The sequence below is a fragment of the Homo sapiens genome, chromosome 4 (assembly GCF_000001405.40).
Source record: "Homo sapiens chromosome 4, GRCh38.p14 Primary Assembly".
NCBI lineage: Eukaryota > Metazoa > Chordata > Mammalia > Primates > Hominidae > Homo > Homo sapiens.
Window position 1 is genome coordinate 98,099,748 of NC_000004.12, and position 16,729 is coordinate 98,116,476.

The following is a 16,729-nucleotide window of genomic DNA, read 5'->3' on the forward strand; positions in this document are numbered from 1 at the left end:
ACCTGCTATGTACCTGCAAAGTTTAAAAATCAAAATAAATTCTAAAAAACTTTTTTTAATGTTTTTAAATACCTAGTATTTAATAGCACAACAGGGGGACTATAGTCAATAACAACTGACCTGTACATTTTAAAATAACTACAAGAGTATAATTGGATTGTTTATAACACAAAGGATAAATGCTTAAGGAGACGGATACCCAATTTTCCATGATATGATTATTACACATTGCATACCTATATCAAAATAGCTCATGTACCTATAAATATATATACCAATGTACCCACAAAAATTTTAAATTAAAAACATAAAAAATGATGATACTATAGCACTTACTCTTTAAACTATTTTACTACTTTAAAACTATACTGCTTAGGCAATAGGATAAATACAAAGAAAGAAAAAAAACCCAAGAATTATTTCTCTACATTCAAAATTTTAAATAAAACTGCCCATTTTTCAGATCTGTAATTAATTCATTCAGAAAGCATTACTAAACATAGGTACCTCACTTCACTATATGTTTTAAAAAGAGAATGTAAGATATTTGTCCTCTAAGAACTATGGTTTAATTGAGGATGTTAGATAAATATATCAAAAAATATTCCATATACAAGAAATAATATTATTCAAATTAATCATAAGTTCAGACAAAAACACCATTAAGCATTAAGGGTCAAAACAACCTGGAAATCTGAAATCTTGAGAAACAAGAGAAAGAGGAATGGGTTCAATATAAGCAAAGAGCATTCCAAGACAATTTCAAGGACTTACTACCTATAACTCATTTTTATGTACCATCTATTGTAAGGGTGCATCTGCTGAACTTAAAGAGCCAAGAAATGGAGTGAAGCTATTAGGCCTATCACACACCAAATTTACCAACCTTCCCAAGTCATATCTTCTTTTTCTTTCTTTTTTTTTTTTTTTTTTTTTTTTTGTTTTTGAGACAGAGTCTTGCTCTGTCGCCCAGGCTGGAGTGCAGTGGTGCAATCTCGGCTCACTGCAACCTCTGCCTCCCAGGTTCCAGTGATTCTCGTGCCTCAGCCTCCTGAGTATCTGGGATTACAGGCACGTGCCACCATGCTGAACTAATTTTTGTATTTTTAGTAGAGACGAGGTTTCACCATATTGGCCAGGCTGGTTTCAAACTCCTGACCTCAAGCAATCTGCCCACCTTGGCCTCCCAAAGTGCTGGGATTACAGTCGTGAGCCACTGCACCCCGCCTCCTTCAGCTGCTCTTAATGTGCAGGAGAGGTACTCCAAAGTGTTATTTTCCTTGGACCTTTAAAACTGGTTATTTCTTCTTGCCTTTTACCACCCCTGGGATCCCACATTAAGACATTTCTCCAGTTGGCCTACCAGATTTTTTCTTTGTTCATAGCAGCTATTGAAAATTCTGCAGCACTTTGCCACTGAAATCTCTTCCCATATTCTCATTTCTGTTCAGCTGCATTTAGGCAGCTAAGACTATGAAAGATATACAGAATAAGAGACAATTTCCAGAAATCATAAAAAGTTAGGGATCAAGCATGAAAGCAAAAGAAGAAAGCACCATGGGAGAGACATTTTTCCCATGCATTTTCTCTCCTTGCCTAGAGAAAGATCCCATGAGTAAGGGAGTTGGAAGAAAAGCAAAAGATTTAAACATAATAATTTGAGAATGGGCCCTAAGTTTTCTACTTGCCCATCCCAAGGCTAAGTGCTAAGCTGAGAGGTGTGAAGGAGTGATCTATCCAAAATAGGCTTGTGATTCCCAGAAAGAAAAAAAAAGAGCTTGAGCCTCATTTTCTAGGTAGCAGCCAGAAAACTGGCCAGTCATCAGAATCACCCAACCTTAAATATAGCCCAGTACAACGCAAGAGCAGCAGCGTAGCAATTCCTGCGAGAGCTTTGTAAACAGAACTAAAAAAAATTTTTACAGTTCCCTTATCACCTGATCACAAATTTAATCTCCAATTCAGCTACCTATAGACAGAAAACACTCAAGATTTGTGGCCACTAGAAACAATTTCTTCTCCATGACATTGAACTCTAACATTTACCCTCAGTAACCACAATTCTCAATTCTTCCCTGTTCTTACAAGCCATGAATCCCCTTATGATTTCATTATCTTCCCCCTCCCCCCCGACCTTAGCCTTGATTCCAAGATTAACCATACTGGCCTTGGAAGCTCTGATTCTCTCAAACCCTTGCCACTTAACAATCTTTATAGCTCCAACCTCTGGCAATGCTTAGCCCTACAATACAGGTTTCTACTCTTGCCCTCATATTGTCAATAATGAGCTTGTGCTAACCACTGTAAAATGGGATCTTTTTCTTCCACCTGCAACTATTTTATTTATCTTATTTGTCACATTCCTTATGATTCATTATGATATGTATTCCATTCTTCTCAATTACTGAATACCTACCTCCCTCACCTCTGAAGAGGACTTCATTGAATACATCACCAGAACAACATAGGTTATCCAAATAAAATTACTGGATCTCCTATATGCCTCTATATTTGTCTTTCAGGGATCTGCAAACTGTGGCCTGTAACCCACATCCAGCTACTGTCTGCTTTTGTAAATGAAAGTTTTACTGGAATATTATTCATCCATATATTGTCCACGGCTCCTTTTGTGCTACAACAGCAGTTGAGTAGCTGTGGAAGAGATTATATGACCCACGAATTCTAAATATTTAATATCTGCCCCTTTACAGAAAAAGCTTTCTAATCCCTGATCTCTTTCATCATCCATTCTTTCTTCCTTTTCATAAAAAAAGAGATATTTCTGTTCCTCTTTAATATAAACTAGCTGTTTATGCCTTGGGTCCCTTTGATCATCTGCTTCTGAACATTACCCTATTAATTATCAGTTCAATGCATTTCTGTAGCTCCTCTATTCCCACTGGATCCTTCAACTATTCTAAGAATATGCTCCCCCCAAAATTAAAATGTCTCTCATTCTGTTATCTTTTCAATCGACCATCTGATTTTTCTTCTTCCCTTTACCATCAAAGTTCTGGTGGTAGAAGGTGGTAGAGGCATTGAATATTATATATAATATTGTCATAATATATATAACATATATTAATATATAACAATACAACATAATGTATATTAATATGGAATATATCATGTAATATATTAACATGTAATATAATATATAACAAATAATTATAATCATATATATTATATATTCAATGTTTCTATTGCCTGGTCCCATTTCCCTTATTCCATGGAATCTAACTTTTATCTGCTACAAAAACTGTTCTCTCAATACTCACAATAATTAAAATACATACTCTCTCAATACCTTTCATTAACTAAATATAAAGCCTTGTTCTTGTCCTGCATTCCTCTCCATGAGCTCTTCTTTTAAACAGTTATTGCAATTTCATTATCTTTTTAATTAACATGTTCATTATAAAACAACAGAAAATTCAACTAAGCAGAAAAGATAAAAGTCACCCATAATTTCACCACTTTGAGTTAAACAGTATAAATATTTTACTATGACTAAATGTACATACACTTATTAATAGTAATAAAAATCATATTATGCATTTGCTTTTTTATTTACTAACCTATCATGACCATCTTTCTATAAAAATATTTCAGGGCTGGGCGTGGTGACTCACACCTGTAATCCTAGCACTTTGGGAGGCTGAAGTGGGTGGATCACCTGAGGTCAGGAGTTCGAGACCAGCCTGACCAACATAGAGAAACCCTGTCTCTACTAAAAATACAAAATTAGCCAGGCATGGTGGTGCACGCCTGTAATCCCAGCTACTTGGGAGGCTGAGGCAGCAGAATCGCTTGAACCCAGGAGGCGGAGGTTGCAGTGAGCCGAGATCGTACCATTGCACTCCAGCCTGGGCAAGAAAAGCAAAACTCCATCTCAAAAAAATAAAATAAAATAAAATAAAATAAATAAAAATAAAAATATTTCTATAATCTTTCATTTTTGAATCTCTATCCTTGGTATCTAAATTTCTAATTCACTTCCTACTTCACTAATTATCTCTCCTCTAGCTCTTCTATCATGCCTCACTCTCAAAATCTGTGTTCCTCCAGGATCTGTTCTTAATTTTCTTCTCATCTTTGTATTCTCTTCTATAGCAACCTCATTACTTCAATTATCACCTTCATGAGTATGACTGCCAAATCAGTATCTCTACCCATAATTTCTATTACAAATTCTATTTTCAAATTTCTACTGTCCATTGGTAATTTTTCTCCAAATTCAATTGTCTGAAGCTGAACTCATTATCTGCTCATCATAATGAGTAGCTTCTGTGATGACCACCTCTGCTAGTGACACAGTCATCCAAATTCACTTTTAAATCATCCCTGCCTTTTCCTACTTGCTTGCCTATACAAACACATGCAAACATGCACAATCAGTGTCAGCATTTAGTTGTGTATATAACAAAACAATGGAAAATTTAATGGTTCCATGTCAAAATAATCAGGAGAAACTACCATTTAGCATTTTATAAGCCAAAAAATTTGGAATTTAGGGAATGAATAAGGTTCCATCTTCCCTCATTGCCTGAAAATTTAAATTAAAATTTTTTACACCTTAGGAACAAATATTTGCTATGACAATAAAGCACTGAGAAAATGCTACATACAATAAAGCCCCTATATTTTAACCAGTTCATTCAGTTTAATTCCTTATTCTTTTTACTATGTATAAGGTAAAGAAATAAAAAGTGATTCTTCTGATTTTTATTTCTCTAGTTTTAAGATACTGTGATAGAAAAAGTGATTGTACAAATCTTCAATTTTAAGCAAAGCGTTTATTTTATATTATACTAAATATGCAAAAATAACAATACTTTCACATTTCTGCTTTAATTATAAATTCTCTTTGATACTTCAAAATTCTTATTTTATCAGACTTGTTTTCACAGAGTTGATTTTCAAAAGAAAGAGTCACATTACATTTAATAATAAACAAGCCTCTGGGTAAGCTCACATTTTTTAAATTATGTATTTCAGAGCATATATGTAATTAGAGGTAAATTACCCTTATGTAAGGTCAAATTTAAACTGTACATTAGATCTCACTAGAAAGGAACACACTAAGAAGCAATCAAATCTTCAGCTTTTTAGAACATTCACATGTTTCCCCATCTACTCCCCAACACCCCAAGATATCTAGTATTACCATTGTTGTGGACAAACTGCAACCTAACTTAATAGGCAGACAAGATTGAAAACCTAACTTAGTAGTATGTACCTGTAACAATAGCTGAGTCTTGGCCAATCCCAGCAGCCATACTTCAAAGACTCATACGCTGCTGAGTGTTCAAACTGTGTTCAAATAAGGCAAATGCCAAGCTATAACCAATCCAGTTGTTTCTGTATCTCACTTTCAATTCCTGTGTGTCATTTCCCTGTTTTTGTCTATAAATTTATTCTGACCAAAAGGCATCCCTGGAGTCTCCCTAAATTTACTGTGATTCTGGGGGCTGCCCAATTCACAAATCATTTATTGCTCAATCACACTCCTTTAAATTCGGTTAAAGTTTTCCTTTTAACAGATGGTGTCAGAAGCGGGGTCCAAAGTAGAGCTTCTAATGACCCCAGGAATGCTGAGTGAACAAGCAAGGTAGCTGCAAGGACCCTGCAAGGACCCACTTGTGTCCTTGATTCCTCAGAGCGGCTGAGGGTTGTGGTAAGTTCTCTCTCCCAAGTTCAGAGCTCCAAGAATTTGTGTTTTGAGCTCTCTGAGTTTCTTTGAGCAAATTTCTCTTCCAAACTGGGTTTGGACGTTTTAACAGAAATGGGACTGGGTCCAGGATGGGATTTGATCCCTTAATTAACAGGCTTGGATCCAGTTAGAGGCCTCTTACATCTGACTGGGTCAGAAAAAAACCAGCAGTAAATGGTAATAATGTAGGGATTGTAAAATTTGGCTTTTGAAAATTCACAGGGATTTTTGTGTTCTACCCTTTGTTTCATTTTTCTTGCATTTAAATCATTTAAAAAACCAACTTAGGAGTCATGAGTTCTTTGCAAGAAGGTTTTCAAGCAGAGACAGCAACCACTTGACAGAAATAATAAATACTTCCTTCTACAATATTCATTGAATGACGATTAGCTATCAGGCACATTAGATCAAAGAGCACAGTAACCTTGTGATAACAGGATTCAATGATCTTAAAATTGGGAAAATATATGCATTAGCCACTTTTCAACTTACCTTTTTTTTCTCCTGCAATACTATTATTTCATATAGTCGTGGGATAAATGAACAATAATTTTGTTGTTGATCTCTCTTGATGTTAACATTTTCATAATATGATGTCTTTTTCCTTCAGAAAATTCAAATAGAAATTAAGAATTCTCAATTTTAAACCTATAAATATTTATGTAAGCAAAGAAATTCTTTCTACAGCAACATGTCCTGCAATTAAACTATGGAATAATAAGATTATCTAGGTATATTAGACCAATATATTCAAAATTTTGTAAAATGTATTAGTTTTCTTGGTTAGTTATGATTTTTTTCCAATTCAGATCATTATTATAAACCTATCTGAATAATTATTACAAAAAGAAAATAAGATCTGGTATTTATTGAACAAAAAGCTAACCCTAAAAAAAAGTTTCCTGTGTAGTCTATGTACCATTAAAAGTCTAAAATTCCAAATCAACTATTATCAAAATAAGAGGAAAATAGCCCTATGCTATTTATATCATAAAATAATCAGAAAAGGGCATAAAGATCTATGAAAACAAAAAGGAAGCTTCTTTTCATTGAAATTCAGACAACCTCAAGAAAGAATCAGAAACTAAATAAGCAGTGAGCAAGAGCCCCAGCTTTGGAGTTAGACAGCCTAATAAGATCCCAGCATTGCTACCTACTGCTACCTATTGGTTATATAACCTTATGCAAACTAACTTCTCTAAGCTTCAGATTCATCACCCAATGAATCTGGTGATTGGAAACTGGTAATTGGAAATAGTAATAACCAATTCTCAAGGTTGCAATGATTAAAGTAGACAATATATGTAAGGTGGTTAATGCCATACATGGCTCATAATAAGCACACAGTAACTGTTAGCTATTATTATTGCAAGAATCACATTTAAACAGGCTATACAGACCACACTACTATTTTTTCTATTTTGTAAAGATAATTTCAAAAAAAATCTGATACCCAACATTTCCAACAAACTATACCAAACATATGCAGATTAAAAAATATATAATACAAAGTTATGTAATTGCTATTACTTTCTTTGTTCAGCAGTGCTATGATTTAATATGCACTTACCATCCCCGCTCACTGCTAAAGGCTCACCTCCTCACTGATTGTTATTTGCTAAAAACTCAACAAATAAACCGCTTTCAAACCTCAGAAAGGTTTATGGATAAGAAATTTATATGTGGAATATCAGAAATGTCACATATCATTTAGGTCTGTATCTTTACCAAAAAGAGACCTATACACTTATCTTTCATTTAGAGTAACCAAATATCTCCACTTTTATACTGAATCAAGCCTCCAAGAATAATTCTGACTCACTAAATAAAACAAAAAGTCTAAGAAAGAAAAAAACAAGTAGAAAATATCAACTGCCAGAAGGAACTGAGACAACTACAAGTCAAAGATACAGTGAAAGCAGCTAACTCAAAGAGCAAACAAATTACAAAAACGGTGAAGTAACTGAAGCAGTCAGGAATGAAATCCATATTCATACATTTCTTCAGGTTAAAACACAAATGGAAGAAGAGGAAAAACAGGAGAAATAACAAAGATCAAATAAAGCAACAGCACAACAAATGGGGGAGGAATGAGAGTGGGACAAGGTTGAGAAGTAAAACAGACTGGTAGGAAAAACCACCAAGCAGAATCAGTTAACACTGCTTACAGTCCCGGGTATGCCTGGGGTACTCAGGCAGAAGTATAGTGAAATGGAATGAAAACAATCATCACAGAATGATATACATTTTAAAAGATGAATTTTGATTTATGCTATTTAAACCTCAATAAAACTGAGAAGAGGGGAAAGAGAGACGGTGAGAGAGAGAGAGCATGAGCACAAATCAGCCAATATGGCAGAAGAAAAGGATAGGATTAAAATACTGAAGAACAAAAGCATATGTCAAGAAGACTATGATATGTGTTAGAGTATTCTACAGACCTTGTCTTGCTTGGAATAATAATAATAATATTAAGTAAAGACTTAATTAAGCTAAATATGCATGTTAAGGTTCTAGCATAACTACTAAAAGAATAAAAATACAAAGGTATATATTCCATATTAAGAGAGTGAAAAAGTGAACAGCATAATGGATTAGAGTATAAATTCCCAAAAACAAACGCCATGTTTTATTCTTGTTATTCTCAGTTACTAAGTTCAGAACTGGCACATAGCAAGAATTCAAACAATGTTTACTCAATGAATGAACAGTAGCAGGGGAGTCCAAGCAAGATCCTAAAATACATCCACTGCTAGTAAACAGAAATATCTGATCTGTCTAGCAAATTAATTGAGTACGTAATCACTCTGGGGCTTCTTGGGAGAAAATTTATGCTATGAAAGAAAAAGAATCAGGCAGATAAGCTGGACCCTTAAAAAATTAATTATAAGAAAGGGTAGTAGATTCTGAGGACAACGTGGTATTTGTTACTCAATTTTGCCTTCCATGAACTCATGTCTAAAACCTGACTGTGGCAGTAGGAGAAAATAGAGTTATTTTGCCAGAAATGTATTTCTTCATAAATATTCTCGGACTTACACTGACTGAGAATGCCTTCTAAATCCATCATGTAGTCAGAGGACTGAAGATGAGAGCCAGGGATAAAATGGAGAATTCTGGGTCACCTTCTTTTACATTTTCTCTGATCTTTTATCTACTTTATAATTAAGGACAGTATATTTTAGTACATGGCTACATGTGCTGTATAATCAAACGGGCTTCAATTTAACTTTAGCTCTGCCATTTAATAGCTGCATGATCTTGAACATGTTATTTATCCCCTCTAACCCTTGCATTTTTTACTGATAAAATAGATGTAACAATATTAACTATGCAAAGCTTGCTGTGAAGATTAAATGAGTTAATGCATATATAGTAGATAGCACAAGATTTGGCTTATAAAAAAACAATTAACTTGGGGGGATGGGGGGCTAGGGGAGAGATAGCATTAGGAGAAATACCTAATATAGATGATGGGTTGATGGGTGCAGCAAAACACTATGGCACATGTATACCCATGTAACAAGCCTGCATGTTCTGCACATGTATCCCAAAACTTAAAGTATAATTTAAAAAATCAATAACTTTCATATACATTACACCAAAATGTAATACTTCTTGGAGTTTTTCATACTAATTTTTCCTTTCTTTACAGCATAGCCTAGTCTGAATTATTAAAATACTTTTCTAGTCAAGAGCTACATTAAAGGTATACTATATTTTTTTACTTACTGGACTATATCATACTGTCCTGGACCAGGACCTGACTTTTTAGGTAACTCTTGTCTTCCTGAAGAGTTGCCAAAATGTATACCTTTGTATTTCAAAGTTGCATTGGAAACATCCTAAAAAATAAAAAGTTTTAAAAAGTGAGGATGAAACATAGTTTAAATAAGTCATGAAACAATGTTTGGCTTTACCTAAGTCTAAATCTAAAGCAAGGATAGCCTCAGTAAGGGGGTTCCACTGGTAAATGCTAAAGTGCTCTTGGATAGATCCCAGGCTAAGTTGTCACTGTTGGTTCCCATTCCACTCCTGAGTCAGCTAGGGTTCCCAGAGAAGTACCTCTAACATTAGCATATTCTCAACCAATATGAACAGCTTTGCTCTTGGCAGTACACCCAGTAATCTAAAACCTTAAGAAAAATGAAAATTAGCTCCTCATCATTTAAAAAAGAGAGAGGGGATAACATTATTTGGGAAATAGAAATACCTATTAAAAATTACCTTAACTAAACAGATTGAAAAAATGCAAACATCACCAATGGTCATTACATAACTTCATATTAATGTAACCTTTAAACAGAGTTAGAAATACTTAACAATAAATTAAACACTACCCTAGTTCATTTTATTGCTAATGCTTAAAGACAGGATCAGTCTTTTAATGACAGAGAAATTATTTGTGACATGAGAAATAATCATCTTTCCTTTATACCCACTACAATAAATGTTAAAATTAAGCATGAACCATAAAAAGTTTAAGCACACTGTTTCACCAGAAACTAAAACAATAAAGCATAACACAACAGTAGCTTCTTTTTTACAGGAATCCTCTTGACCTAAAACATTCTTAGTTGAGAAATCATTTAAGAATATTTTAAAACATATTTTTAAGCTAATGGTATTTACTATAATTTCCATAACATATAGTTTAACAATGTGTCAAGTTGTTACAGCAGGTAGACAGCCTGACATGAGCAGGGTAAGAGAGAGCCCCCCCAGCCAAGAATGTCAGGCGACCATCAGGTGATGGTCAGGCAGTTGTTAACAGTCTAAAATAATAATTCATTGCAGCTGGCACCAGGGAAAGGCAGTCTCCCAAGAGAAAAATCCTGAAGCTGGTGATCAGCAGCTTCCAGATAACATCTCAGGAGTTGCGCGAATGGGCTCACACATGCACACTAAAAGGCAAAATGGCCGTGTTTAACCAGCATATGACCCTCTAGGCGCATTCAACTGGAAAGGTAAGAATGCCTCAAGTGAGCATGTGTACAACTCCAGTAAACACACTGCACACGTGGCCCCTCTCAAGTGCTAGAAAGCCACTGAGCATGTGAACAGCCCACCCCAAGGAAAGACTCAGGGGACAAGTAATGCAAGACCCTGGAAGCATGCCAACATACAAAACCCAAAGTTAAAAGGTCAATCCATGCACTTGATCTCTCAAATCACCTGCTGGGCCCTCTTCCAAGTGTTCTTTACTTCCTTTTTAATAAATTTTTACTCCCACTCTAAAACTTGCCTTGGTCTCTCACTCTGCCTTATGCCCCTCGATTGAATTCTCTCTTATGAGGAGGCAAGAATTGAGCTGGCTGCATACCCATAAGGATTTGTAACCGCTAAGTTGTTCTAGGTGGCTATTACTATTCTACAGCAGTGGAACCAACCTCTCTCAGTTACCATTATAAGCAATAATAATGCAGTAAGTAGCAACATTAGTGACAAAAGCATAATTTCAGTACAAAATGGTGAATCAAATCCATACCTGCCCCACCCGACTCCAAAATTTTAAAAGAAGTATATCAAATAGACACAAGTAAGTGCTAGAAACTTCACATGCCAGAAACTTTAAGGACTTTCTGGAAGATATAGCACAGCAAAGACTAGAACCAGAAAAGGACCTCATTACATATGAAAAGAGTCTCAGCTGAACCCACTTAACATCCCCAGAACCAGAAAAGGACCTCATTACATTTGAAAAGAGTCTCAGCTGAACCCTCTTAACATCCCCAGAACCAGAAAAGGACCTCATTACATTTGAAAAGAGTCTCAGCTGAACCCTCTTAACATCCCCAAAAAAACAGAAACTGGAGATAAACTCTTAGGTAGCGAGTAGGGGGCAATTCTCAAAACTACTAGCACCTTTGGAGATGTGCACCAGTGCCATTACATTAAGTGATGAGGAGAATGCTAACCTCCACTTTATTATTGGCAGATGTAGTTGAAACTAAATTGAAAGCACTTTCCCCTGCCCCTAGTGACTTTCTAGTTAGAGAGGCACCACTCCAGAAAGCTTTGAGGTGCCACAACAAAATCCAAAAAGAAGCTGGCGCACACTAAAATTCCTTGAACTTACCACTAACACCTAGCCCCCACACATTATAATATATAAGCACAATAGAATTAACTTTCCCTTCTACATCTGCCTGGCCTGAAAAAATTAAATGCGGATTGTGATGGTCAACTTTAGATGTCAATTTGACTGAGTTAAGGAATACTCACATAGCTGATAAAGTGTTATTTCTGGGTATGTATTTGAGGCTGTTTCCAGAATAGATAGGCATTTGAATCAGTGAACCATCCTCACCCAATGTCGTGGGCACCTTTCAATCAGCTGAGGGCCCAGATAGAACAAAAAGACAGAAGAAAGGTAAATTTGTTCTCTTTTCTGGATCTGAGATGCCCATCTTCTCCTACCTTCGGACATCAGAACTCCAGGTTTTCTAGCCTTTGGATTCTTGGACTTTCCCCAGCAGCCCCTCAGGTTCTCAGGCTTTTATCCTTGGACTAAGAGTTATACCATCAGCTCCCGTGGTTCTCAGGCCTTCAGACTTGAACTCAGCTACTCCACCAGCTCCCTTATTTCTCCAGCTTGCAGACAGCATATCATGGGACTTCTCAGCCTCCATAATCACATGAGCCAATTCCCAGAATAAACCCCATCTCACATATATAGTTATGTACCACATAATGATGTTTCAATGATGGACTGCATATATGACAATGGACCAGATATACAATGGTGAGCCCGTAAGATTATAACACCATATATTTATTGTTCCCTTTCAATGTTTAGATGTATTTAGATACACAAATACCATTGTGTATCTGTATCTTTGTAATCTGTACCAGACAGTACAATAACATGCTATTCAGGCTTGAACCACAGAAACAATGGGCTATACCATATAGCTTAGGTGTGTCATAGACTATACCATCTAGATTTGTGTAAATATACTCTATGATGTTCACACAATGACAAAATCACCTAACAATGCATTTCTTAGGACGTATCCCTATCATTGATTGACACATGACTGTGTAAGCATTGGTTCTGTTTCTCTGCAGAATCCTAATACAAAGACTAACACAACCTCTGACAGAACTTTAATGTTTGCATGAAGTAAAATGAGACCTTTGTTGATTCTTTTTTCATAGATGCAAACGTGTACAGAAAATTATAGTTTTTCTAAAGAGTTATCCTGCTTTGATTTTAGTAAATCCCCTTGATTGTTTCTTTCTTTGGTGGTAGAGAATATTGGAGCTGAGAAGAGAGAAACAAGAAGTCGTCTGCTATGTCCAAGTAGAATTCAGACATGTTTTGGAATACCTGGTGAACAAAGCAAAACAACCAAAAGGCAAATGTAAAAACTAATCCTATGAGAAGAAGGAGATAATCATGATGCCCCACACCTAGTAAGAAAATCTTAGTGTCAAAAGAGTGGCAATGCTAAATACTGGGGATTTTCTGTCAACTGGGTTTGCGTTCTAACACAGACAATCCTCAATGACTTTATGCCTCATATCCTTTTGAGTGTGAAGAAACTATGAAAAAAAAAAAAAACTAAAACAACTGTTTCATTAAAATATTGGCTAAAAGAAAAAAAAAAACCTGCACTACTTTTGAACCTTTCTAACAGAGTATAACACGAAGAAAGACATCATCATCCTCCCCCTACTTTATCCCAGCTAATCCGGCAGCTTTAGCTGTGAAAGAGAACATTGGTGGAAATGCCCAGCAGAGAGCACCATATGGCAAGAGACTGAAGTGCCTGGTGGAACAGCAGCTGTACTCAATGGAAAGAGACTTATTCGGGAGCATAGCTGAGACAGCCCCCAGGGATGTCTAGAAATACATGGGTAGAAGAACTTTGCAAAAGGCTATATGTCCTCTACATTGATAGTTACAGACAAAAAAAAATGGTATTTAAGTTATTAACATTATTGCAACTCTCTTTAGTAACTCCAATCCAATGAAGCCTGGGAAAATGTGTTATATAAATAAAAAGGATTAATCCTTATTTCCTCTAGGAATATTTCCAGCACTGTACGTGGTCTCAGTGGGCTTGAATTATTGATCTGCAAATCCCTTCTGCTGCAACACAAAGAGCAGAAAGGCATTTGCCCTTCTTCACTATGGACATTCAGCTTTAACACTGAGTGATGAGTGACAGTCTTATAAAGCACTATCTCAAAGTAATATATTATTATTCTTAATAGCATTATTATTATTATTACAAGTAGGGATTCTAATTTGATACACAATTCCAAAGCCCAGCCCCTTGTCATGTCCTTGAAGGAACAAAGCTATGAATAAAAACTGAAAGAGCTATCCCACAAATCTCTGCAACACATAGGGTATATATACACTACTTTGGAATTCCTAAGTATAACACAAAAGGAAATAAGGGAGTCAGACCATCCAAAGGCATTGGGTTTGGTGGGTGTAGGGGGGCAGAGACAAATGCTATAAAACTTAGCAGAATGACTTACAAAAGTGGCAGAGTCTGACATGTCCAGCACAGCAGTACATGCCAGTAAAAGAGCACGGAGAAACCCTAGCATCCACTAGAGTAGTTGAAAACACTCCTCTCTCCTCTTCTTATAGGGTCAGTGGCAATTCCAAAGACTGCTGTGCCAAACAGAACTTAAGGAAGAGAGAGAACCTAGCCAAACAACACTTTCTCTTGCTAAAGTAAGTGCTCCAGATCACCTTTCAAATGCAATTACCTAATACAACCATGGATTTTAAAGTACATAGGCAGTTTTGATGGCAGAAAGAATGAAATTTCCCATTTATGTTAGAGTTTATTTTTAACTCAGAAATAAAGCAGAACATCATAATTGTGCATATTTTTTTCTACTATATTATGACCATAACAGACAGTGAAGTACAAAATGTGAAACTACATTCTAATATAATATAGTCATGCTGGATATTTTAGACATTGTATATATTTCACACAAGAACATATCTAATATGTTGATTTACTATAGCCTATACATTTGTCAAAAAATCAGTATTTTAAAATACAGCATTTTGATGTCATCTTTTACATCACATTTTTATAGCCTAAAATCATGTTAAGGTTTTGTATTAACTCTTTTAATGCAAGGATTCAAGACCTTGAGCAGGATTCTATTGAAGAAGCTTTCTTTAAGTGAATTTACATTATTGAGATTTTATGATTCAATTGTTTCACAATTCTAATAGTAATCCAGTAGGAGGAAAGATTATGTATGTGTACATGTGCACACACACACAATTTAAGACCCCACAATAATATCCATTTTTTTTTTTTTGTGTGTGTGTGTGTGTGTGTGTGTGTCTACAATAATATCCATTTCATTTAAACCACATGAATTGACAAGTACTTAACTCATTAACCTCTGCGGTACTCAGGTAGATGTTGAATCAGAAATTTAAAAGGCTTTTAAAAATACAGACAGAAAACAAAGGATAAATTGATGCACTCTTATCTCTAAATTACAGTTTCTTTTATGTCAAGAAGTGTTGGCAATACCAACTTCAAGGTCACTGTCAATTTTGAAAATCATTAGCAAATAAAATATGACTTAATTGAAGCAAACTCAGCATGGAACTGCATTATTTTAAGTAAATGCTATATTATAATTTGAAGAAGAATTACTAACTGCCACTCTCACTGACAATTAAATAAATGAAGATGGGGCTATGCAACTTTCCCCCATGTCTTTCCATAATTAAATATGGAAATAGAATTTGTGAAGAATTAAAAGGCCCAAAGTGCAATAATTCAAACACTAATGAACTGTTTTCCAGTGTGGCAGCACACAGGTAGTTCCCAGCATGTTATCATTAGCAAATATGTCAGTATCATCATTCCAATCACAAACTTTGCTTGTGAAATACACCTCTGAAAAATAGATTTCTAATAGTTACCTGGGCTCTTCTAAAAGAAGAAAGAAGCTAAACTTTATCATTCAAAATGTTATATAAAATAACTTTTTTGTAGAATTTCTCTTCACAAATTAAATTTAGCTAAAGTTTAACATTTGTCACTTAGAGTCTTACACAACTCTTAATTCTGTATTTAAGCTTTATTAGACAGCTTCAGCAGATGTGATTCACCAGTTAAGAAAGAATCACAATAATTACCCATCTATTGGATTATTTTCTTAATTTTCTATCAATATGCACCTCTGGAAACTAAACCCACATATAGTATTAAATATTATTTCAAAAAGCAAGCAAAGAGTTACCCAGAATTATCGAAAATTCAGATAAGATTTGAATTAACATTATTACAGTATCAATTTGGCAGTAGTTTGTGAAGAACCTGTGTTTTTCTGCAGGAGAAACAGAAGAAAATAAAGCCTTCAGCTACTGAGCTTTGCCACGCTATCTCTAGTTCTCTCAAATACAAGATGAGGATTTCAAAAAATATCACAATTCCGTTTGTATTAAACTTTGCTGAATCTTCTTGAATATTATGAACTATGTCTTTAACTGATACAGAAAACTACGTTTTTATATGTTTTTAAATTACATCTAGATTTTTATTCCAATAAATAAATAATAAGTTGTATTGATTCAATACTTATTAAATTAGGCCATCAAATAAATTAGGTCATCAAATAAATGTCTTCTTCTTCTTCCTTATTTCTATAAATAATAATTTAGCCAGGAAGTAATCAAGTTTTATATGTCTAAGTAATGCTTATTCATGTGGGGAAAGGATTTTATACATGCAGGGAAGCTTGGAGGCATCATTGTGGCCTTCTAATAGATGACACATTATTCTGAAACAAAAAAAAAATAGCTTAAAGCAAGAATTACATTTTGAGATGTAAGTTATGAGTGATTAGGGAATTATTAAGCTAAAGCCAAGAATCTATGACTAATTGTGAAGAATACTTATTCCAATATGTTAGACCATAGTTATTTTTCTCAGGATATTTTAGGTAAGGAAACTGAGCACAAAGATTAAGTAACTTGGCCAAGGACTAATAACTATTAAGTGGTAGAGTCAG

The 16,729-nt window shown here is 35.0% G+C and overlaps 1 protein-coding gene across 7 annotated transcripts in view, besides 1 other annotated feature; it reads right to left on the bottom strand.

Moving 5' to 3' along the window:
• STPG2 (sperm tail PG-rich repeat containing 2) overlaps positions 1 to 16,729 on the bottom strand; it is a 702,228-nt gene that overhangs the window by 658,499 nt on the left and 27,000 nt on the right. For 4 of the 7 annotated variants that reach the window (XM_047450118.1, XM_011531886.4, NM_174952.3 and 1 more), the window contains 2 exons: positions 9,446 to 9,558; positions 6,206 to 6,317 (listed from right to left, as the gene is read on the bottom strand). The exons of 2 other annotated variants lie outside the window; for them this stretch is intronic. In XM_047450118.1, coding sequence (XP_047306074.1) covers positions 6,206 to 6,317; positions 9,446 to 9,558 — 225 coding nt within the window. Of the gene's footprint in view, positions 1 to 6,205; positions 6,318 to 9,445; positions 9,559 to 16,729 lie in introns of those variants that run through there. One more of the 7 variants, XM_017008051.3, reaches the window with a different exon arrangement.
• Positions 11,024 to 11,849: an enhancer, noted in NCBI's record as "OCT4-NANOG-H3K27ac hESC enhancer chr4:99031922-99032747 (GRCh37/hg19 assembly coordinates)". NCBI's record gives its function as "activates a minimal SCP1, AML or CMV promoter by ChIP-STARR-seq in primed H9 embryonic stem cells {active_cell/tissue: H9 hESC(primed)}" and the evidence as "EXISTENCE:reporter gene assay evidence [ECO:0000049][PMID:30033119]".